At 41.2% G+C, this 25,483-nt stretch overlaps 2 long non-coding RNA genes and 3 other non-coding genes across 6 annotated transcripts, besides 1 other annotated feature; 2 read left to right on the forward strand and 3 right to left on the reverse strand.

Annotated features, from left to right (window-relative positions):
* The first annotated feature begins 850 nt into the window (after positions 1–850).
* On the forward strand, positions 851–15,501 carry LOC105374996 (uncharacterized). Of its 2 annotated transcripts, none has more exons than XR_926657.3 (3): positions 851–1,323; positions 9,672–9,739; positions 15,442–15,501. It is a non-coding gene; the product is annotated as an uncharacterized LOC105374996 (long non-coding RNA). The 2 variants fall into 2 exon arrangements; XR_926656.4 differs by lacking the exon at positions 15,442–15,501 and adding an exon at positions 10,225–10,547.
* Positions 2,263–2,763: an enhancer, noted in NCBI's record as "H3K27ac-H3K4me1 hESC enhancer chr6:28607773-28608273 (GRCh37/hg19 assembly coordinates)". NCBI's record gives its function as "activates a minimal SCP1, AML or CMV promoter by ChIP-STARR-seq in naive H9 embryonic stem cells {active_cell/tissue: H9 hESC(naive)}" and the evidence as "EXISTENCE:reporter gene assay evidence [ECO:0000049][PMID:30033119]".
* Positions 5,712–5,783, forward strand: TRA-TGC2-1 (tRNA-Ala (anticodon TGC) 2-1). The gene has a single exon. It is a non-coding gene; the product is annotated as a tRNA-Ala (tRNA).
* TRT-CGT3-1 (tRNA-Thr (anticodon CGT) 3-1) lies at positions 10,474–10,547 on the reverse strand. Its single transcript has one exon. It is a non-coding gene; the product is annotated as a tRNA-Thr (tRNA).
* Positions 10,553–16,742, reverse strand: LINC00533 (long intergenic non-protein coding RNA 533). Its single transcript, NR_135285.1, has 3 exons — positions 16,699–16,742; positions 11,163–11,333; positions 10,553–10,918 (listed from the first exon to the last, which is right to left on the reverse strand). It is a non-coding gene; the product is annotated as a long intergenic non-protein coding RNA 533 (long non-coding RNA).
* Positions 16,743–20,503: 3,761 nt separating this feature from the next.
* On the reverse strand, positions 20,504–20,575 carry TRA-AGC4-1 (tRNA-Ala (anticodon AGC) 4-1). The gene has a single exon. It is a non-coding gene; the product is annotated as a tRNA-Ala (tRNA).
* Between the last annotated feature and the right edge of the window lie 4,908 nt (positions 20,576–25,483).

A 25,483-nucleotide genomic window follows, 5' to 3' on the forward strand; every position in this document is an offset into this window, starting at 1 on the left:
CACAAGGGGATTTTTCTCTAATATTTACTGCAAGAATCTGGTCAAGTTCCTGTAAGTAAAATACACAAAAGCATGGGGCCTTGCTGTGACTGGGTCCCCCTGGAGTTTTTAACTCTCAGACTTGTCCACACCTAGCCTCCAGCAGTTCATTGATTAGAATTCAGGTTTTCTTATCTATGCAATGGTTCCCACAGATATTTCTGCTCGTGTGCTGTGATTTTCAATGTCTATCTGTCTGTCTCTCCAATTTGGGGGGGGGGTGGGCACCAGTTTCCTCTGTGACCTATCTTCTTTTATGAATCTAAAAAGTTAGATTTTTCACTTCCTTCAGCTTCTCAGTTGTTAAAGCAAAGTGGCAACATCCAAGCTACTTACACGCAAAACCCTAAACTGGAAATCCAGACTGTTTTTACTGTCTTATTTTCCTTTTTTAATCCCAATTAATTGTATCTCTATTATATGTACTGTTGTTTCAAAGAAAAAAATAAAACATGGATGGACACAGTGGCTCACACCTGTAGTCCTAGCACTTTGGGAGCCCAAGGCAGGTGGATTGCCTTAACGCAGGAGTTCCATACTAGCCTGGCCAACATGAAACCTCGTCTCCTTTAATACAAAAAGCAGCCCGGTGTGGTGGCACGTGCCTAAAATCCCAGCTACTCGGGAGGCTGAGACAGAAGAATCACTTGAAACCGGAAGGTGCAGGTTGCAGTGAGCTGAAGTCCGGCCACTGCACTCCCACCTGAGTTACAGAACAGAACTCTATCTCCAAAAAACAAAAAAAAAAAAAAAAAGAAAAAACATTAAACAAAATATTTTGAAGTACAAAGGGCTAAAGGGCTATGGGGAAATAGTGGTATTTGTATATATTCAGAAATGTGGTTAAGAGAATAAATCTGACAGCCCCTGAAAATTTCAGCATAACACTGGGTCCGGAATTGGCGGGTTCTTGGTTTCACTGACTTCAAGAACAGAGCCGCGGACCCTCACGAAATTACAGTTCTTAAAGGCAGCATGTCCAGAGTTTGTTCCTGCTGATGTTTAGGTGTGTTCGGAGTTTCTTCCTTCTGATGGATTCGTGGTCTCCCTGGCTGAGGAGTGAAGCCGTAAACCTTCGCGGTGAGTTTTACAGCTCTTAAGGCAGGGCGTCTGGAGTTGTTCCCTCCTTCCAGTGGGCTCATCATCTCGCTGGCTTCAGAAATGAAACTGCAGACTCTCCAGACAAGTGTTACAACTGCTAAGGCGACGCTTCTGGAGTTGTTCGTTCCTCTCGGTGGGCTCGTGGCTTCGCTGGCTTCAGAAGTGAGACTACAGATCTTCCCGGTGAGTGTTACAATGTATAAACGCAGTATAGACCAAAGAGTCAGCCATGACAAAATTTATTGCAAACAGCAACAAAAACAAAGCTTCAACACTGTGGGAGGAGACCCCAGTAGGTTGTCGCTGCTGGCTCGGGCAGCCTGCTTTTATTCTCTTATCCGGCCCCCACCCACGTCCTGCTGATTGGTAGAGCCGAGTGGTCTGTTTTGACAAGGCACTGATTGGTGCGTTTACAATCCCTGAGCTAGACACAAAGGTTCTCCACATCCCCATCAGGTTAACTAGATACAGAGTGTCCATACAAAGGTTTTCCAGGGCCCCACCAGAGTAGCTAGATACAGTGACGATTGCTGTATTCACAAACCCTGAGCTAGACACAGGGTGCTGATTGGTGTGTTTACAAACCTTGAGCTGGATACAGAGTGCCGATTGGTGTATTTACAATCCCTGAGCTAGACATAAAGGTTCTCCAAGGCCCCACCAGAGTAGCTAGATACAGAGTGTCGATTGGTGCATTCACAAACCCTGAGCTAGACACAGGGTGCTGATTGGTGTGTTTACAAAGCTTGAGCTCGATACAGAGTGCCGATTGGTGGATTTACAATCCCTGAGCTAGACATAAAGGTTCTCCACGACCGCACAAGACTGAGGAGCCCAGCTGGCTTCACCCAGTGAATCCCGCACCAGGGATGCAGGTGGAGCTGCCTGCCAGTCCCGCGCCCTGCGCCCGCACTCCTCAGCCCTTGGGTGGTCGATAGGACTGGCTGCTGTGGAGCAGGGGGCGGCTCTAGTCTGGGAGGCTGGGGCCGCACAGGAGCCCACGGGGGTAGGGGGAGGCTCAGGCATGGCGGGCTGCAGGTCCTGAGCCCTGCCCTGCGGGAAGACAGCTAAGGCCCGGTGAGAAATTGAGCACAGCAGCTGCTGGCCCGGGTGCTAAGCCCCTCACTGCCCGGGGCCGGTGGGGTCGGCCGGCCGCTTTGATCGCGGGGTCCGCCGAGCCCACGCCCACCCGGAACTCACCCTGGCCCGCAAGCACCGCGCGCAGCCCCGGTTCATGTCCGCGCATCTCACTCCACATCTCCCGGCAAGCTGAGGGAGCCGGCTCCGGCCTTGGCTAGCCCAGAAAGGGGCTCCCACAGTGCAGCGGCGGGCTGAAGAGCTCCTCAAGTGCCGCCAAAGTGGGAGCCCCGGCAGAGGAGGCGCCGAGAGCGAGCAAGGGCTGTGAGGACTGCCAGCATGCTGTCACCTCTCAACACAAATTGACTTGTTTTCAAATAGATTTGGTGATTTTTTTAAATGCAGGTTTTAATTTCAGGCTTCTATTATCACATACCTTTTTTTTAAGATTTACAGTTCTAGGCTGGGTGCGGTGGCTCACGCCTGTAATCGCAGCACTTTGGGAGGCCAAGGCAGGGGATCACTTGAGGTCAGGAGTTCGAGATAAGCCTGGCCAACGTGGTGAAACCTCCTCTCTACTAAAAATACAAAAATTAGCCAGGCGCGGTGGTGGGTGCCCGTAATCCCGGCTACTCAGGAGGCTGAGACAGGAGAATTGCTTGAACCCGGGAGGTGGAGATTTCAGTGAGCCGAGATCGTGCCACTGCACTCCAGCCTAGGTGACAGAGCAAGACTCCGTCTCAAAAAAAAAAAAAAAAAAAAAAAAAAAAAAAAAAAAAAAAAAAAAAAAAGATTTACAGTTCTAGTTATAGCAAGCTTTCTGTAACACTGATTGGGTTAGGCAAAGATCGTGTCAGTCATTTTGCAAATGTGTTAATCTTCAAAAATAGGCTGTAAAAGTACAAAACTATGAAAACAGAATATAGATTATGTACATGTGGCTCAGCTGTGAACAGAAAAAAAGGTAAATAGTGTACAGTTTGCTGATACAAAGCACTTCATTGCAGTGCCAGCAGACTGATCTCAAATGAGGTGTCCCTTGTAACACAAGAGCGAAGATTAATTAGTCTGTTCACATACTGGAACAAAGAACTACCTGAGACTGGGTAATTTATGAAGAAAAGAGGTTTTTTGTTGTTGTTTTTTTCTTGAGACGTAGTCTGGCTCTGTTGCCCAGGCTGGAGTGCAGTGGCGCGATCTCGGCTCACTGCAAGCTCCGCCTCCCGGGTTCACGCCGTTCTCCTGCCTCAGCCTCCCGCGTAGCTGGGACTACAGGCGCCTGCCACCACGCCCGGCTAAATTTTTTTGTATTTTTAGTAGAGACGGTGTTTCACTGTGTTAGCCAGGATGGTCTCGATCTCCTGACCTCGTGATCCACCCGCCTCGGCCTCCCAAAGTGCTGGGATTACAGGCATGAGCCACCGCGCCCGAAAAGAGGTTTAAATTGATTCACAGTTCAACACGCTTAACAGGAAGCATGACTGGGAAGCCTCAGGAAACTTATAATCATAGCAGCAGGTGAAGGGGAAGCAAGCATATCTTACCGGACGGACCAGGTCAGAGGGGTGGGGGAGGTGCCACACACATTTAAACGATCAGATCCCCAGATCTAATATCACTATCAGGAGAACAGGAAGGTGGAAACTGCACCCATGATCCAATCACCTCCCACCCAGGACCCTGCTCCAATTAGACGTGAGATTTGGGCTGGGACACAGATCAAACCATATCTCAAGACTTCTATCAAGGACACCTTGCATTGCATAATTAAAATAAAAATAGGATTCTTTTACGATGTTATCCTTGCTCTATGGAGAAGAGCAGGGCCAAACTGTTTATTTTTTAAACAGTTTCTTAGTAAAATATTTTGTGGTTGCTAAACCCATGTACTACTGCATAAACTCAGCCATGGACAGCACATTAAAGAAACAAAAGTTTAAACTCTCTAGGAAGCCAGCTGGTGGACATCCTCTCTAAAGCCCAAATTGCATGTGCACTGAGACAAACGTTGCTGCTTCAAAACAACCAAAATTGGGAAAATAACTGAGGTCCAGAAACAAATTTTCTCTCTCCTGACTCCTCCTCTTCTCTTAATATGGTGGATAGATTCTTTAATGCTCAAAGGCTTTCAAATATAAACAGAAATATCTGCTACTGTTTGTCTAATACACAAGTAATTTTTAAAAATTCACATACTATTTTCACAATATATTAAAAATCACTTTTATTTCCCTCACACGTTTAAATATTTTAATACACACTCATAAAAATTCAGGTCTAATATGTCAAATTATTTTATTTTTAAATGCTAGAAACACCTTAGTACTGTGTTATTGTTAGAAAATGAAACAGCAGGCCGGGCGCGGTGGCTCACGCCTGTAATCCCAGCACTTTGGGAGGCCGAGGTGAGTGGATCACCTGAGGTCCGAGGTTCAAGACCAGCCTGGTCCACATGGTGAAACCCCATCTCTACTAAATATACAAAAATTAGCCGGGCATGGTGGCAGTCGCCTGTAATCCTAGCTACTCGGGAGGCTGAGACAGGAGAATTGCTTAAACCCTGGAGGCGGAGGTTGCAGAGAGCCAAGATCGTGCCATTGCACTACAGCCTGGGCAGTAAGAGCAAAAACGTCGTCTCAAAAAAAAAAAAAAAAAAAAATGAAACAGCAATGTTGTATTCATCAATACCTTACATCAGCGGTTCTCAAACATAAGCGTGTACCAGAATCACCCTCAGGGCTTACTAAAACACAGATTATTGAGCCCTACTTCCACAGTCCCTGACTCATAGGTCTGGAGTAGTCCTAGAGAATTTGTATTTTTAGTAAGATCCTAGGTGATGCTGATGCTGTTGTTCTGAGGACCACATTTTGAGATCTACTGCCTGACACTGAATTCTGTTTCTCACATTTTGTAACCCAGATTTATATTTGAATATTCACATTTCTCTTACGCTTTTTATTCAACAAGATACAGATTTACTCACCCAATCTACTGAGTGGGATTTTTCTTCTTAGACGAGGCGGAGGGTTGGTTTGTGGATAATTCCAAGCCCAAAACCTAAGACTGGGTATGCCTTACAAGATCAATCTATCCCAGTACTTTACCCACTGAACTGGCTTCTGATTACAGTTAGACTTTGTATAATACATCAGGAAATTTCCCAGTGGTTTGCTGTAACCATCTATGGTTCTACTTTTCTTTATTCTGGCCATTTCAATTGACTGGATCTGAATGATTTATATACATAGTCCTGCTCAGATAAAAGCCAGTTTTGCAACCCCTTGTTCTGTGTTGGGCCTGGTGAGTTTCCAATTACTCTAAAGGACTTAGTGACATTGATTTAAATCTTCTTTCTCACATTCATGACCTGCAAAATTCACACAATTCTTGCACAACAAACTATTTAAAACTAATTTTGGGGGGAAAAAAAAAATTGATCGAATACAGTATATTTTTAAAAACTTTTTTTGGAACAACAAGGGTCTATGTGTGGGGATGTAGCTCAGTGGTAGAGCGCATGCTTTGCATGTATGAGGTCCCGGGTTCGATCCCCGGCATCTCCAATAGGTATTAAGGTTTTAGCGCTGATTCTTGTTCAACGTACGTGCTGCTGAGCAAATCTTCCGCTCACTGTTATTGCCAAGGTCTCTCAGGCCCTGGAGCCTTTTCTGGAAAGTGGGAGGGGTAAGAAAGGAGGTTAGGCAGAAAAAAGGATTTGTTTGTTTCCACCTCTGCCCTTTGTTTTTTCAACATCTCTTTCATCTTTTCACAGTGCTTCTAGGTTTCCAGGCGAAAACCAAGTATTTTATTTCTCATTCCTTCTATTTTACAAGTGATCATATATATATATCATATATATATGATATATATGATATAATATATACCTATATATGATATATATATGATATAATATATACCATATATATATATATATTTTTTTTTTTTTTTTTGAGATGGAGTCTAGCTCCGTCACCCAGGCTGGAGTGCAGTGGCGCAATCTCGGCTCACCGCAAGCTCCGCCTCCCGGGTTCATGCCATTCTCCTGCCTCAGCCTCCTGAGTAGCTGGCACTACACCACGCCCGGCTAATTTTTTGTATTTTTAGTAGAGACAGGGTTTCACCGTGTTAGCCAGGATGGTCTCGATCTCCTGACCTCGTGATCCACCCGCCTCGGCCTCCCAAAATGCTGGGATTACAGGCGTGAAACACCGCGCCCGGCCACAAGTGATGATATTTAAAGTCAACTGTTGAATAGAAAGTACATTACTGGGCCGGGCCCGGTGGCTGGGAGGGGAAGGAAACATTTTTTTCCTATAGCAGAAAGATAACTTGTAAATGTAAAATAAATGATGGATTTACAAGATCATCATTTGGCAACCATCATACTTCTAACTGATTCAGGCCAGGATCATCAATGGGTGCTAAATTAAGTTGATAAAAGTTGAATGATAACAGGATATTTACATAGTCTCAAAGTCAGGATACTTATTAATGACAGTGGAGAAACCTGGCAAACACTGTCATAACCAGGTGACCAAAATTAATACCACTGGTAATGGGACAACTGCCATTAAATATCTCCTGGTAAAATGCACTGAAAAGGGCACAATGTCAGCTCTCTGGTATTCCTACCCAAAATACATAAACTAAATCCAATCATGAGGAAATAGCAGACTAACCCAAATAGAGGAATACTTTATAAAATAACTGTCCTGTACTATTTTAAAAATACCAATGTTATAAAAGAAAAAGAAAGGCTACAGAACATGACAATTCAACATATGCTCAAAGATTTTCTTTTGCTAAAAAGGACATTTTAGGGACAATTAGCACAGTCTGAATAAGGCCCATATATTGGACAATAGTATTGTATCAATGTTAATTTCTGATTTTGATCATTGTACTGTGGTTATGTAAGAGGGTGTTTTCCTGTTAGGAAACATACATTGAAGTATTTAGGGGTAAAGGATCATTATATCTACAACTTATTCTTCTTTATTTTTATTTATTATTATTATTTTTTTGAGACAGAGTGTCACTCTGTCGCCCAGGCTGGAGTGCAGTGGCGCTATCTTGGCTCACTGCAAACTCTGCCTCCCGGGTTCAAGCGATTCTTCTGCTTCAGCCTCCTGAGTAGCTGGGACTACAGGCACGCGCCACCACGCCCGACTAATTTTTGTATTTTTAGTAGAGATGGGGTTCCTCCATATTGACCAGGCTGGTCTCAAACTTCTGACCTCGTGATCCACCCACCTTGGCCTCCCAAAGTGCTGGGATTACAGGCATGAGCCACCATGCCTGGCAACTTATTCTTAAATGGCAAATGGTTTAGTATGTGTGCGTGTGTGTGTGTCTGTGTGTATACATGTATATAGGAACTTTTAGCTCATATGTATATTTCATATGTATAAAATATATATGTATACATATATACATATGAGATGTGAGATAACAGTATATCTCACACGTATATGAGATAAAGGCATATCTCATATGTATAAGAGATTAAAAGTATATCTCATATGTATAAAATATATATGTATACATATATATATACATAAGAGATATACATATGAGAGAAGGTCCATATTTGGGAAGATTGAGTGAAGGATGCAACTTTTCTGTAAAAATGAAATTATTTTAAAAGTAAAAATTAAAATAAAAAGAAAAGAATGAGATAGACCTTAGGCTAGTCAAGTTGCTTACCAAAGGTCCACATTTGGTAGTGAAGGATCCAGGACATGCATACAGACTTTGTCACTGACAACTCCATGCTCCTTTCACTCCTGTGCACAGTCAGTCACTTTATTGCCAGCCTTTTCTCTGCATTTATATGTGAACAGATTTTTCTCTGGTGTGACTTGATCCATTGAATGAGCATTGCTCTCACTAGAGGGAGGAAAGCATCTTTGGATTGAGTTGAGAGCCACTTCACTTTTCAATCTGTGGTCCAGTACATAAACTTAGAAGTTGTTTGCTAAGTTTGCACAGAGACTGACTCAGCTCTTTGCTGAGTGTGAGGGGACTGCAAAGCTCTTTTAAGGCTCCTTAGATAATTCACCTTGGGGATGAAAAGACCTTAGAGGACTTGACTCCAGCCTCTCTTATTCTGGCAGCTCGGAACTTTATATAAGAAACAGAATAGAAAGCTAAACTTTCGAGAGAACTCCCAGTAAGCACAACTAAATTCTCATTGAAACCTTAGTGAATTCATCACCATTAAGTAAAGAGAAAGAGGATAGGATTATTTCTTATTAATCAAAAATTAAACAAAGGCATTGATGTACTTGTCTGATGAAGTTTTACTCTTAAAACATTTGGAAAAGGAGTCATTTGTGAGCAATAACTCCCCTGAGGTTGCAGATATAGGCTTTTTCTCAATTGGGGGGTTTTCCCCCTAAAACTTGATGCCAATTCCTTTTAAGTATTTCTTACATTTATACTTTCTCCACTTCTGATTATGTTACTGGTTATCTGCTTTTCTAGTTAATTTTAAATTTATTTTCTGAAAAGAACACAATAAATAGGAGAATACATCTGAAACCTTATATTTTTTTCTTCACTCATAATTTTTGAAATGTGTTTATGTTCAATTACACATGGATTTTGGTTGCTCTTAATATAAAATTAAAACTCCTTGGCATGGCCTCTAAAATTCTGACACAGTTTCGTCCTATCCTTCTGCATCCCATCTCTCAGGCTGCTTGCCCATGGCCTTCCCACTGTACTCATACCAGCTTTTTTCCAGTCCAATGCACTTTGTCCAACTTCCTCTGCCTGGGTTTTCCTATGCTCTGTCTCCCTTTCCTATGCTGTCCTCTTTCTTTGCAACTGAAGACTCTCTTCTTATCTCCCTGATGAAACCAAATCCCATCGGTGTGTTCTAAATCACAGTCATTCTTTTTTTGCAGCACTTATCATAGCCACAATGTTATGTTTGTCATTATATAAATAACTTCTATCCATTCACCCACCCCCAACTAAGCTCTTATCTCCTTTGGGATAGAGACCAGGCCTGTTCAGTTTACCTTTCCACACCTTGGTGTGAGTAGGCATAGAATTAATAATTTTGGGAATGAATGAGGGGATGACTAGAGTTCCGTAATTATCACATAAAACAGATGAAGGCATATCTTCCACTGCTTGAAGTTAGCTTTAAGAGGTGTTTATGGACCACATAGAATTCTTTTCAGAATTCACTTCAGTGATCTCACATCCAGAAATATAACTTTTTGAAACTGGCATGCTGGCTCAGAGTCATAACACTCCTGTTGGGAAATCTGCTTCTAATAACCCACTTTAAATCAACCAAGGGAAGGGAGTGATAGTACTATAAAAATCAATGTCAAGAAATAAAATATGACCCCTGTCCCTAAAACAGCTTATTTTTTCTGAACATTCATTTGCGATTTACTGTTTATTGATTTATGAAAGTCATGGATTTTTTTCAGTGGCACATGGACACCCAAGAACTTAAGGAGGTCAGAGAAAATCTCAAAAGAATATGCAAAATTTGTCCGTAAGTCTGTGTGTGTGTGTGTCTGTGTGTTTATAGACAAAATTTTTTTTTAGATAATGTAATGAGTTCATGTGCCATAAAATTTTAAGAACCATTATTCTAAATCACACTGGATACTGTTTGTTTTTATAAATAATATTATTTGTTACTTAAGACTTTGACTTAAATAACTTTGACTTAAGTAACTGAGAAATATTGGATTTAAATATTAGCTTGATTATCAGCTGTAAGATTTGGGCAAGTTTATTTCCTTCTGATACTTCATTTTTAATCTGTAAAATTGGCATAATAATGTTTACTTCAGTGAATATTCTAGGAATTAAAAGCATGTGAGAAAATACACAAAGTGCAACTTAGTAAATGTTCCATAAATTGCAACCATTTTTCATCCATGTGGACTTTAAGCAAGGTTAACATGGAGTTTGAGAAACCAGAAGAATATATTTTTAATGTTTTGAATTAAAAGTTTTACAATTTTATTTTAGAGATTTTTTATCCGTGATTGAACTTGAACCCCTGAGTTTGGTGAAATTCCAATATAACTGTCTGGGAGATCATCAGAAACTAATAGTCTTTGAGGATGCAGGTGTAATGAAGAGAGATTGGAGAGATTAAAGCTCTATGCAGTGGACTTGATATTGTGATTAAGGATTATAGACTAAAAATTGTGATAAATTTACAAAAACAGACGGCCCTTATTAAAGGGGGAAAGAAAAAAAAACACGCACACCCTAAGGCCCCGCTGGGATTCGAACCCAGGATCTCCTGTTTACGAGACAGGCGCTTTAGCCAACTAAGCCACAGAGCCAGCCGTGCTGATTCTGTGGCTTCTTTTATGACCGAATTGCACTTAATTAGGTGACAAATTCTGTTGCCATTAAGAGTTACTGTGTTTTCGAATACATCAACTTTGCAGTAAAGGCAGACTCCTGAAAGGAACTTCTAGAAATTAGACTCCCTTCAAGTCCAACAAAACACACCCACACTCACACAATCACTTAGAAAATGTGCTTAGAACAATGTCAGCGCGTCCCAGAGGGCAAATAAAACCGTGAAATCGGAGAGTGGAGATGAACCATGTTCCCAGCGGAGGAAGAGGCATCGGTCTCTAGACGTGGCGAGAGCAGTTTTTACATTCCATGGCATTGCGGTGATTTCGAATCATCAAGTGGTTGGATTCTAAAAGTGGAGTGAAAAGCTTTTCTAGCAAAACAGATCATTCAGAATTTTCATCACATTAATGGCTTTTCTGGCCAATTAGAAGATAGCACACGGATGCGCTGAAAAACAAAAACTGTTAACGCGTTCAGACTCTCCAAACAGCTGCCAGATCACTGCTTTAGAGAAAGCAGGCGACAGCTGGGAGGCGACCTGGTCGGAGCTCACTTAACGGTTTTGTATTTCAAATCCAAAGAGACTTTGCCTGCTCGAGGCTTGTGTTCCCGCGGCTCCTGAGAGGGGGCACAGATGGAAACCAGAAGGGGAGGCGTCACCGGACAGGGTCTTTCCTAATTCTGCCTTCCTCATTTTGGTTCTTCAAGCTTCAATTAGATGTTTCCTAATATCTTCCTTATGGATCCGCACCTTGTAGAAGCTAAACAAACATTAATTGATTGAAAAATCCCCAAATTAAGATCCATTCTGAAACTGTTAACGATTGTATCCTAGTTTTCTGCCTTTGCTTAGTACTGAGGCTGGTGCCAAAGTGAGGGAGTGAGTTCACCAAATAAAGCAAGCGTCTCTGCACATTACCCAGCTTCCCCGCCATGTTAAAAAGACAACAGGGAGGACTACAAAATTCCCTATTTAACCTGGCAAAGGCTGTAAGGGGCTCTGGGCCGGATAATGCCCTTGAATCCTAAAGTCTTTCTTAATTCCTCTCTTGAGCCAAAATTTGGAGCATTGCCATTTCGTATCCCATTCAGAATGTTTTTGTAGTGAATATAAACTTATTTTCCTGTTAACCAAGATAGTCACGTTTTAATTTAATATAGATTAACAAACTGTTATGATTAGACCTGTACTAACAGTTACTGTATTAAGAGTTACTGTATATTTACTGAGTTTGGGAAGCAACATCCCCCAAAATCATAAGGACCAGGAATCATAGCCTTTCTGAATTTGAATCAGCTGAATTGTTTATGATCAGGATTGTACTAACTTCAGTTACTAAAATATAACTGGGATGGCATCATGTCCAGGGAAATATTGTTCAAGTTTTTTCCAACAAGAACGATGTATTGAATACCTACTATGTGTCAGGCATTGAAATAACTTCTGTAGACACAACTAGGCACAAGGTAGCCAGATGATAAAAATCAAACAAGAAACAGTATCACAATAAAAGAAGTACAATGTGATAGTTGAGTGCCTAGCAGGTCCCAGTAATCAAGTTCAAAGCATAATACTTTGTTTTAGGTATATTTCTGACATTGCCCAGTTCAACTAATTTTAAAATTTCTTTTTGACTTTTGCTGGAAAAAGTCCTAATAGATTTTTCCCCCCTAATGTCACAATTAGTACTTGAACACACCTAGAATACGTTCAAGTTAATCCAAGATATTTAAACAAAATAAAGAATATGGCTGGGCGCAGTGGCTCATGCCTATAATCCTAGCACTTTGGGAGGCTGAGGCAGGCAGATCACCTGAGGTCAGGAGCTGGAGACCAGCCTGTCCAACATGGTGAAACCCCGTCTTTACTAAAAATACAAAAATTAGCCGGGCATGGTGGTGGGCGCCTGTAATCCCAGCTACTCAGGAGGCTAAGGCAGGAGAATTTCTTGAACCCGAGAGGTGGAGGATGCAGTGAGTCGAGATCACACCACTGCACTCCAGCCTGGGCGACAGAGTGAGACTCCGTCTCAAAAAAAAAAAAAAAAAAAAAAATTATTGGACCTCGTGAGACTTACTACCACGAGAACAGTATGGGGGAAACAGCCCTTATGATTCTATTATCTCCCACTGGGTCCCTCCCGCAACATGTGGGAATTATGGGAGCTATAATTCAAGATGAAATTTGGGTGAGGACACAGCCAAACCATATCACTAGCCCAGTGGGATCCTCCTCCAAATAGAGTTGCACTCAAAAAGAAAAAAAAAATATGTGAGTGAATTGAAAGGCTAAATAATTCACATGAGATCTCCAGCCAATTTGATGCAAAAGTGCTCAACTAACATCAGAATCCAAGACAGCTGACTGAGGGATATGAATATCAATACTGGAGCGTGGGGATTTGTCACAACTGCAGTGACTTCATATTACCCTCAGTTATGCTTTCTTTGTTGAGAATAGGGTGATTTACTATACTACTAGTTAGTAGCTGTTAGTCCCCTGAAAATTCATGTTTAAATCCTACCCTCAGTACCTCAGAATGTGATCTTATTTGGAAATAAGGTAATCAAAGAGGTAATTAGTTAACTTGAAGTCATACGGAGTAAAGTGAACCCCTGATTCAATATAACTGGTGTTCTAATAAAAACGGGAAATTTGTCTGGGTGCAGTGGTGGCTCACGCCTGTAATCCCAGGACTTTGGGAGGCGGAGGTGGGTGGATCACCTGAGGTCAGGAGTTCAAGACCAGCCTGGCCAATATGGTGAAACCCCATCTCCACTAAAAATACAAAAATTAGCCGGGCGTGGTGGCAGGGGCCTGTAATCCCATCTACTCGGGATGCTGAGGCAGGAGAATCACTTGAACCTGGGAGGCGGAGGTTGCAGTGAGCCAAGATCACGCCATTGCACTCCAGCCTGGGGACAAGAGCGAGACTTCATCTCAAAAAAAAAAGTAGGGGGATGGAAATTTGAACATACACACACATGCAGGGAGAATACCATGTGAACATGAAGGCAGAGATTTGGTGATGCATCCACAAGGAATTTCAAAGATTGTCAGAAAACCACCAGAAACTAGAGGAGAGGCCTGAAACAGATTCTCCCTCACAACCCTCAGAAAGAACAAACCCCGCTGACACCTCGATCTTGGACTTCTTGCCTCTAGAACTGTGAGATTATAAAGTTCTGTTGTTTGAGCTGCCTAGTTTGTGTTATTTTGTTATAGCAGCCCGAGGAAACTATTGCAGTAAGCAGCATCCTCTGAGAAATAACTAAGTTGTGTCCTAAGATTTTCCCCAAACTTTATTAAAATGAACTTATTTAAAAAGAAAACTAGTAAATAAGAGGTGAGGTGAAGTAAGTATGACAGGTTCATATGCCTAATTAAAAAGCTGAACAAAAATTTGAGTTCAAAGATAGAAGAAAATAAAAGGCACAAGGAAAAGTATGTGTCAGCTTAGCTATCCCAGTCCATAGTTTCTGAGAACAACCAGAGGTGGGGATAAGCAAGGACCACTCAGAAAGGGAGTATCTCACAGGTGTGTGGGAAGAAGAGAGCTTGAATCTGGGAAAAAAAGTTAAGCTAAGAATAGGAATTAGAAAGGATGGAAACCGAAGGATAGAATAGGGATGGTAGAGGAAGAGGCCATCGTAGGAGGTGGTAAAAGCAAAGACTGTGAGCTAGGAGAACAAAGCTGGCTGGATCCTGAGGGTAGTGAGTTACTATAGTGAGTGTAGTGAATGAGTTGAGGTGGGGGAAAGTAAGAGCATCTGGAGAACAGAAGATGGAGATGAATGTGATCTGAGATTAAGGTGGGAAAGTAATTTAGGAATAAGGGATGGAGTGGGTGCACTGGAGAAGGTATTTTGAGGGAGGACACAGAAGTGAGAGGCACAGGTGGTGGCTATAGAAGGGGCCCTACAGAATGGGTGGGCTTAAGGAGAAGCTAGAGAAATGCAAGTTGGGAACACCAAATCAGCTAGAGGAATAAGACTGTCAGTCAGTGGAAAGCAGGCAATTGGCAGGTATCTATGCTAAAGTGTTGGGCATTTTGCCCTAATAAAACTTCGTCATGAGATTGAAGTGCCATTCAGTGTCTAGTGAATAAGGTTGATATACCATGTGTACACCATCTACATTCACCAGTGATTTTAATACAGCATTTGTGACACTGGGTTACCAGAAAGTCCTTTCAAACTTCTCTAATGGTAGCTTTGACATTAGCAACTCAGCACAGTACCCCAGTGTGGTCCTTTTCCAGCCTGAAAAGGCTATGTTTGAGTGTGGATTTCACCACAATGAGGCAAGAGAAAGTAAAAGTACTTACTAACAGTTAAGCACAGTAGAATTGCTAGTCCTATATCAAATGGATTGGCTTTTGAGAAGAAATTGCATTATGTCAAGTAGCCTAGGAATATGAATATTAGATCATCACACTTTGGATTACTACTCAAGTGAAATAGTTATTTGAACTATAAACATGCATTAAAAATCTTGATGAACAACCAGATATAACTGAAGGAAAGATGAAGTACTTGACATTTAAAGGTAGAAACACAGTTACATGCCACATAAGGACATTGTAGTCGACAATGAGCCACATAGATGACAGTGGTCCCATAAGACTGATTATAATAGAGTTGAAAAATTCTGATCACCTAATGACATTGTAGCTGTGGTAACATAGCCCAGTGCATTATTCACATGTTTATGGTGATGCTGGTTTAAACAAACCTACTGCTCTGCCAGTTGTGTAAAAATATAGTACATACAATTATGTACAGTACATAATACTTGATAATGATAATAAATGACTATGTTACTGGTTTTGTATTTACTATACTATACTTTTTATTGTTATTTTACAGTGTACTCTTTCTACTTATTACAAAATAGTTAACTGTGAAACAGCCTCAGGCAGGCCCTCACAAGGGATTCTTGAAGGCATTGTTATCATAGGAGATGACAGCTTCCTACTTGGTATTGCCTCTGAAGAACTTGCAGTGGAACAAGATTTGGAGGTGGAAGATGGTGATATTGATAATCCTGACCCTGTCTAGGCCTAACCTAATGTGTGTGTTTGTGTCTTCATTTTTTAAAAAAAAAAGTTTTAAAAGTTAAAAAAAAAAAAAAAGCTTTTCAATAGAAAAAAGCTAATGGAATATAGATATAAAGAAAAAATGTTTTTTGTACAGCTTTACAGGTGTTTGTGGTCTTTTGGATTTTTTGTCTGTTTGTTTTTGTTTTTTGAGACGGAGTCTTGCTCTGTCACCCAGGCTGGAGCGCAGTGGCGAGATCTTGGCTCACTGCAACCTCCGCCTCCCGTGTTCAAGCGATTCTCCTGCCTCAGCCTCCCGAGTAGCTGGGATTACAGGCGCCCGCCACCACATCTGGCTAACTTTTGTATTTTTTAAAATTTTTAGTAGAGACAGGGTTTCACCATGTTAGCCAGGCTGGTCTCAAACTCTTGACCTCCAGTGATCAGCATGCCTCAGCCTCCCAAAGTGCTGGGATTACAGGCATAAACCACCATGCCAAGCCAGGTGTTTGTGTTTTAAGCTAAGTGTTATTACAAAAGAGTCAAAAAGTTTTTAAAAATTAAGTTTATAAAGTAAAAAAGTTACAATAAGTTAAGGTTAATTTATTATTGAAGAAATAAATACTTTATAAGTTTCGTGTAGCCTAAGTGTATAGCATTTATAAAATCTACAGTAGTGTACAGTAATGTCCTAGGTCTTCACATTGACTCACCACTCACTCACTGACTCACCAAGAACAACTACTACCAGTCCTGCAAGACACATTCATGGCAAGTGCCCAGTACAAGTGTACCATTTTAATGGAGTGCAATGGCGCAGTCTCAGCTCACTGCAGCCTCGACCTTTGGGCTCACTTGATCTTCCCATCTCAGCCTCTTGAGTAGCTGTGACCACAGGCGTGTGCCACCACACCCAGCTAATTTTTGTATTTTGTAGAGATGCGGTTTCACCATGTTGCCCAGGTTGGTCTACAACTCCTGGGCTCGAGCGATCAACCCGCCTTAGCCTCCCAAAGTGCTGGGATTACTGTCGTGTCCCACTGTTCCTGGCCCCATTTTTATCTTTTATACCACATTTTTACTGTACCTTTCGTATGTTCGGATACACAAATACCACTGTATTGCAATTGCCGACGGTATTCAGTTCAGCAACATGCTGTACAGCTTTGTAGCCTAGGAGCAATAGGCTATACCATACAGCCTAGGTGTATAGTCGGCTATATCATCTAGGTTTGCATAAGTACACTCTGTGACGTTCGCACAATGACGAAATCATCCAACAATGCATTTCTCAGAACATTTGCCCCTTATTGACACACGACTGTATAAAGATTTTTATCTTTGGCCGGGCGCGGGGCTCACGCCTGTAATCCTAGCACTTTGGGAGGCCGAAGCTGGCGGATCACAAGGTCAGGAGATTGAGACCATCCTGGCTAATACGGTGAAACCCTGTCTCTACTAAAAATACAAAAAATTAGCCGGGCGTGGTGGTGTGCCTGTACTCCCAGCTACTCGGGAGGTTGAGGCAGGAGAATGGCGTGAACCCGGGAGGCGGAGCTTGCAGTGAGCTGAGATCGTGCCACTGCACTCCAGCCTGGGCTACAGAGCAAGATTCCATCACAAAAAAAAAAAAAAGAAGATTTTTATCTTATGAATATCTATTATTGGAGATATCTCTGAGAAAAATTTACCCACTTGAACAACAACAATAGATCCAATATGATTTTAAATGACAACAATATAAATGTAAAATGACATTATAAATATAAAATGACTACAAAATAAATACATAACCATATCATAAGGGAAATAAAGAGAGGAAGAAATCTCCAAAAAAAAAAAAAAAAAAACCACCAAACACAACCAAACAAAAACCCACCAGTAATTCAAGTCCAGCATAGTAAGTGCATGAAGTAAAACCATTTAACCCAGAGGCACAGACAGAAGCCTTAGTCAAAGATGGCAGCTCTACCTTAGTGCTTCCAGAGCCAGAACTCATGGCCTGGGGCCTATTTTGGGGCAGAGATACAGAACTGAGTCTCCTGCAGGAGGCTGGGAGACTCCAGAGGCTTTCCCACGGTGGAGACGCTCTTAGCTCTTAGGGAAAATAAGAGTCAAAGCAGTATCTCGGTATCCACTGGCCCTTTAGTCATAGACATATGAGCAGTTCGCAGACATTTTAAAAGTCAAGGGCCGGTGGAGGTGATGTAACTTAATCTCACCAGGTACAGTTCTGCCAAGTAGAGAGAAGCTTCTATTTTATGTTTTGTCTTTCCAAAATTGTCCCAGGACTAAGAAATCAGAATTGCCACTCCTTGAGATCCCTGCTTTGCAAAGCTAGGTATTGGGGAAAAAAGCCGATCCCTTAAGAATTCAGGGCCTTCTGGGATAGAAGAAATAGACCCTTAAACTCTGTTCCCCCATAAAATTTGAGGTTATTTGCCAGTGGTCTGAGATGGCTCTGACCTCATCTTAAAGCAAGGGAAGACAATTGAAATAAACTTATCTCATGGAAAAGGGAAATTGATAACTTGGGACTGTCTTACTAAGGAAAGGCTTGTTTTAATTGATCGTATAACTCTGGGTTCCTGATAGGAAAATTAAAAAAATTTTAAACAATATTTCAAAAGATCGCTATTTTAATTGGTAAAACCAGACCTAATTTTCTGTAGCTTTTCTGCCGAAAGAATATTAAGAGAAGCAAAAGGAAGAAAGAAAAGGGGCAATTTTCTGAAAACATAAAAATAAGCGGACAGCTGAAACCTGGAGAAAAATCTTTTATTTGCTGGTCCTATTCCTTAGCATTGAAAAGCTAAAAAGACTCCTTTTTGTTACCAGAATGAAACTGCTCTGAGCCTCCATTTAGTGGTTGCTACAGTCTTGTGCTAGAGAAAATTAGATGTGAATCAAGGTTATTTAGTGAGGAATATAATTTATTATTTTCATGTTAAAGAGAAATGAGATACAGCAGACCTACAACATAATGTAGGAAAATCTTCACATGGTTTATTCTTAGGCTGTGATCAATAACCTCAGTAATTTGAAATAAAATACATCATGGTGGGTAGACAGAAATTTAACAGTGATTCTCTCTTCTTTCTTGTCTGTATTGGGCAAACCTGGGAAAGTTTAAACATTCAAGGGAGGAAATCTGGCAGTGTTTGGCAAGAATCTCTAAAATACGAAGTAAGTTATAACCTGTGGTCAACTGGGATGAAAGGCAGACTTTGGGTACCGCCCTACCCTGCGACAATATAAAGGACCTAAGAGAAAGATGGTAGATGGGAAGGGGAAGACAGTTACATGTTACGCACTGAAAATTCAAATAAATAAATAAATAACTATAAATCTGTCACTTAAATTATTTGCTGAAGGAATAAATGGAAGACTCAGGCTTTCTGTGACCAAAATAAAAGAATCTATTTTTTTTTCTTGGAGGGGATATAAAGCATGCATAGCTTTAACCTGTGGGTAGCTGAAGTATTAAATCAATGAAATGTGTAACTTCTCCAGGTCTCTTATATGAAATAAATTTAGGGAACTGATGGGGGAAAGAGTGGCACTGAGGGCCACTGGGGGCAGACATTAGGAGCAGAGTGGGGACGGAAATTTCAGTTAAGAAACATTCTCCAAGACCCTCCATTTCTGAATGCTTTTCTCATTTGTAAAAAGATTTTCAGGACAAAGGAAAGATCCTTCCAGAAAAGATAGAAAATGTTTTGCCAACGACTGTTTTTACTTAGGGAAACTACTGAACTGCCCCCCGATTCCTTACCGCATCTCTGCATTGTCCCAAGTTGGAAGTTGAGACTAAAGCACCAAGATACAAGAGACGCGGCATCCCAAAAGGAGATTTTTGTGTATTCTGCGAAATACACAAAAGGGCTAGCCAAAGAAAGTCCTCACACACGTGCATGGTATAAAAGCACCAGCTTTAAAAAGAGAAGTGTTTTTGTTTTTTTGTTTGAGAAGCATAATTGAAGTGAGCAGTTTTAGAATCAGTGCAGCAAATTTAGAGATTTCAAAAGAGATCAATATAGAAGGGATCAAATCCACACAATCATGGGAACGCTATGAACTCACTGGCAAAATGCAGTCACTGAAGGAAAAACGTCAGTGTCAAAATGCTACTATTTCACCTCTTTGTGTACGATTTCTGAGAGAACTGCCACGTTTGGAGATGCTAAATTTACCCAATGCCTTCGTAGCCTCCGGCCTGGGAAGAGTACATTTTCTTTCCTGCGAGCTTGAGGAGAAATCCATATTTTTCCCACTAAGCCCCAAAAGGTGAAACCTGAGACCGGACCTCAGCCTACCGTTGGATCCCCCACCACAAACCCAGCAGCAAAACTCAGTGAAAAGATGAATTCGTTCACAAAACATCCATTTAGGATTTTTATTGATAATTGTCCTTTTATTGGTAAATGTTCCTTCCAGCACCGCCCTAATGGAACAGGGTCCAAAGTCACTCATCATATGTAAATGCGGCTGAGAATGGAGAGGAATAAATTTTTTTTTCTTTTTCTTTTTTTTTTTCGAGGCGAAGTCTCTCTCTTGTCCCCTAGGCTGGAGTGCAATGGCGCGATCTCGGCTCACTGCAACCTCCGCCTCGCAGATTCAAGCGATTCTTCTGCCTCAGCCTCCCAAGTAGCTGGGATTACAGGCGCCTGCCACCACGCCTGGCTAATTTATGTATTTTTAGTAGAGACGGGGTTTCACCGTGTTGGCCAGGCAGGAATGAAATTTTAAAAATGAAAGAGCTACAGGCGTAACCAAAGCAAGATATAAATACGGGAGTGGGGGCAATATGATTAATTTTCCGATTCTACAGAAATAGGCTGTGACTGTATCTGTAAAAGAAAGACGGTTCCGGAGCATAAATACAAAAACACTGGAGATGCTGGGGATCGAACCCGGGACCTCATGCATGCTAAGCATGCGCTCTACCACTGAGCTACATCCCCACCTCGAAAAACGTTCGTCTTTAAACTGCTTTTATGAAAGAATATAGAAATTTACCTCAGTTTTTTTTTTTTTTAAACATTTATTTATTCTTTCATGAACGAACGTTAAAATTTTCATTTCCCCTTTTTGTAGCCCTCTATCACCAAGAAATTTTGATTAACCAGCATCTTGCAGACATTTGGTAAGGATTAAGAACAGACTAGAGGAGGAAATTTCAGTTAAGAAACATCCTCCCAGACCTTCCTTTTCTGAATGCTTTTCTCATTTGTAAAAAAGATTTTCAGGACACAGGAAAGATCCTTCCAGAAAAGATAGCAAATGTTTTACCAACTACTGTCTTTACTTAGGGAAACTACTGAACTGCCTCCAATTCCTTACCCCATCTCTGCGTCCTATTCCCAAACTCCAGAAACCGCTACACGCCTTTTCTTAGAAAACAAGGAGGTAGTGAAGGAATTTCTGTTATAAAAATAAACTCGTTCCACTCCGTTAGCAACTGGGACGGTTAAAGGCTAAAGATGTTGGATTGCCTCCCGCGGCCCCCTGATCCGCATTTTATCCAGAGAATACAAATAAAATCCAGAGAGTAGGAATCCTCAGATCCTACTCTGATTCTTTGAAATGAAGAGCCCAGAATGAAGTTGGAGACGTGTTACTTCTAAGATCGAGGCTAAATCTCTGCTTCTGTGGCGCATTATTTTCTGTAGAGGGAATGGTTCTCTCTACAGAAAATGTAGAGATGGTTCAGACTCCTGTCTCACCAAGGGAACAGAGAAGGCTTTATACCTGCGTAGAGAGTGCAGAAGTCCTCGGTTACAGTCACCTGTGACCGAATCTGGAAGGATGGATAGGAATGCCAAGTAGAAATGAGGGAAGGGCTGTGCTTGGGAGTGTTCAGAACGGTTGGAGTTGGGAGAAGGAGCAAGGTGGGGAGGAGGCTCTAAAAGGTAGCTTGGCAAGATGACACCAGCAATTCTCACCCTACCTTGCACTTACAGCATCCAGAACTAAATGCTTTTCCAGAGCCGCCAGAACTAAATGCTTGTCCAGAGCCTTCAGAACTAAATGCTTGTCCAGAGCCTCCAGAACTAAATGCTTGCACTTACAGCCTCCAGAAATAAATGCTTGTCATTTAAGCCACCCAGTTTATGGTATTTTGTTATAGCAGCCGGAAGTGACTAAAAGGTGGAGTTTGTTAAAGGAATGGACATGTGTCAATGAATATTATAAAATTCATTAATCTCATGCAACATATTAGAGGATTAAAAGAGGGAAAAACATGTAATAATCACAACACTTTCAGAAAAGTTTTCTCACTGCTGAGTGGAAAATGGAAGTAATAGTACTAAATATCTTTTCCAGATCTGACATTCACATAATTAATCATGCACTACTCTAGACCCCAGTACACACCTGGAAGGTAAGGAACATATCTAACAAAAGACTCAGACAACCATTAACACCTCTGCTTGGAAACAAGATTTTTTTGGAATCATAGTGTGTCTTCTTGTTTCTTCCAACATGATTCACTTTGAACTTTAAATCTGATAAGTGTGGGAAGTGAAAACCTCTGGCCAGGATAGAGTGACAGGAACCAGAGTTACTATTCCACCTGAATCAACCAAAAATTTCTAAAATGGCAAAATGTGAAACAATGAACATTAGGCAATGAAGGACAGTGATCTCTGAGAAATGCGAAACAAGATGAGCACAACGAATGCCTCAGCTTACTGCCTTCAGAGGTATCTCCAGGCCACCACACAGGTGTTATGGTTAATTTTATGTATCAACTAGACTAGGTTAGAATGCAGAGTTGCTTGGTCAAACTCTTGGTCAAAGTTTCAGAGTTGCTTGGTCAGAGTTGCTTGGTCAAACATCAGTCTAGAAGTTTCTGTGAAGGTGTTAGATGTGATTAAGATTTAAATCAGTAGACTTTGCCTAGGTTGGGCACTATGGCTCAGGCCTGTAATCCCACCACTTTGGGAGGCAGAAGCAGGAGTATCACCTGAGAATAAGACCTGCCTGGCCAACCTGGTGAAACCTGTCTCTACTAAAAATACAAAAATTAGCTAGGCGTGGTGGCACATGCCTGTAATTCCAGCTACTCAGGAGGCTGAGGCATAAAAATCGCTTGAACCCGGGAGGCGGAGGTTGCAGCTAGCTGAGATTGCATCTGTTCCAGCCTGGGCAACAGAGAGAGACTTTGTTTCAAAAAAGAAAGTAGACTTTGAGTATAGCAGATTACCCTCTATTGTGTGGATGGGCCTTACCCAATCAGCTGACTTGAAAGAAAAGGGAAAACAAGAGGACTGAATTCTACCTCCAGGCTGCCTCCAGACTCAAGACCACAACATTTGTTAACTATCGGCATGATGTTCCCTAACAAATCCTAAAAGCAAGACCTTAACAATTTCTTAAAAAGGAATCCATTCACTGCACTGATTTGGGAAATATAAGTTTAAATCATTCTTTCTTTTTAATAGATAGTTGACTATTCTTTGGTAAGAGAGGAAGGCAGGCCTCCCTTTACCACAATCACTTGAAATAATTGTATGGGATAACCAGAATTCCCTATCTCAGAGAGCAAAAAGCAGGACCTTAGAGTGCACTGAGAATACTGATGATGTGAGTTGTTTCAAGAATCAAGAAGGGAATTTCTGGTGGATATATTTTGAGGTGTATTCATTCCATGGTATAGGCATTCTTGTCTTGTCGTAAAAGCTGCCACCAAGACTTTGATGCCAGAATTATTTTGAAAAATATATATCACATCATGTCACATATGTATCAATAGGTTCATATTGTGCCATCATGTCTGGAAAACCGTCTTAGCTACTGAAAAGAATGTTCCCCTGAACTGGAAGGGCAAGGGAGAGAAGGACGCCACTAGGAGTAGATTGAAAAAATATCTGAACAATAAGGAGTCAATCATATAAAGATAAGGAAATGGAACATTCCATGGAGAAAGAAGAGATAAGGTAACAAGCTCTCTGGTAGAAATTAACTTAGTTGGTTCAAAAATTATAAAAAAGGAAAGTGTGATTGAAGTTTGATAAATGATTCTAGAGGCTAGACACTGTAGAACTTTGTAAAGGCAAATAAGAGTTGGAATTTTATGCTAAAGGTAGTGAAATGGAGGGTGCTACTTTGGTTGTTTACCTAACATTCAGTCCTTCTTCCTTGTAAAATTTTAATTGTCTTCAGAGGGTGATGTGCCTCATCACAGGGGATGAATCATAATGTAATTAGGGCATGGTTCTTAACCTTAACTGAACCAATACTCTCTCTTTACAACAAGTTTTTTGCAGCACATCAATTAATATCCTGAAATAAAAGTGATAGTTAATGTAAACTAGCTACAGATACAATTTTTCTTTCAAATTTGTAAGACTCCTTAACTGGTATACATATGAGAAATAAAAATATAGTAATTCAAAATGGGTAATAAGACAACATATATTTCCTTATGGAAGTGGTAGGGAATTACAATCTTTTTAATACTCTCAGCAAAACCAATAAATGACTATTTTAGAAAACATTATACAGTCAAGTTCTTGTACCTTTCAAAAGAATTAGTTTGAATGAAACAGTAATGAAGGCACAGGTATGTAGTGTTGGATGTTTAAAGCCAAGAGCCATGCTTGCCTTGCCAAACTGATTTGTTAATATGGTAAACAATTTTTTTTTTTTTTTGAGATGGAGTTTCACTGTCTCACCCCAGCTGGAGTGCAATGGCATGGTCTTGGCTTACTGCAACCTCCGCCTCCCGGGTTCAAGTGATTCTCCTGCCTCAGCCTCCCGAGTAGCTGGGTGCCATCATACCCGGCGAATTTTTGTAGAGACGGGGTTTCACGATGTTGTCCAGGCTGGTCTCGAACTCCTGACCTCGTGATGCGCCCGCCTCAGCCTCCCAAAGTGCTGGAATTACAGGCGTGAGCCACCGCGCCCAGCAGGTTAACAATTTTTAATAAGTTCCAAACAAAGTACTATGAAACATTTCCACAATTTACAAAGTAGTTACATTCCTGGATTATTTGCTGTATGTGAAAAGTGTGGCCGGGCGCGGTGGCTCACGTCTGTAAGCCCAGCACTTTGGGAAGCCGAGGCAGGTGGATCACCTGATGTCAGGAGTTCGAGACCAGCCTGGCCAATATGGTGAAACCCCGTCTCTACTAAAAATACAAAAAAATTAGCCAGGCATGGTGGCGCACACCTGTAGTCCTGGCTACTCGGGGGGCTGAGGCAGAAGAATCGCTTGAACGCGGGAGGCGGAGGTTGCAGTGAGCCGAGATCTTGCCATTGCACTCCAGCCTGGGCAACAGAGTGAGACTCGGTCTCAAAAAAAAATTAAAAAATTGTTCAGAAATAAATAACTTGTGTTTATACATAAAACAAAGGTTCAGAAACTATAAACGGGTTAGTTGTTTTTTTTCTTACCTGCATGAATTTTCCAGAAACCATATAAAAGTCTTGCAGAATGTACAACCATTTTTGTTATGAGGAATTGCTGTGTTTATTTGTAAGATACTCTTACCCCTTTCCATTAGATGTCTGTAGCAGCCACTAGTCTCTGTGAAAATCAACCCCTCTAAAAATGTCCAAGTGGAACTGTCCTGAGAAACGCTTATTCAATTATTATCATCTATTTCTTGTTTATAGCAATTGATTTAGAAATGAGTATGAGACACTGTTGTGGCTGACGCAATTTAAGTACAGCCTTCCTGAGAGGTTTCTGGGACAAGTATTTCTCTTGTTAGAAGACAAATGTGCTAAGGAAGAATGTTCTTTGCTTTTGCCTTTACTTTCTTGCTTCAGAAACACTACTTTGAAGACAAAACACAGTGTTTGGAGCTACTGTGATCATGAAAGAGACACTCTTGACACTTAAGGATGACAGAATGAAAATG

This window comes from Homo sapiens, chromosome 6 (genome assembly GCF_000001405.40).
Source record: "Homo sapiens chromosome 6, GRCh38.p14 Primary Assembly".
In the NCBI taxonomy this organism is placed as follows: Eukaryota; Metazoa; Chordata; class Mammalia; order Primates; family Hominidae; genus Homo; species Homo sapiens.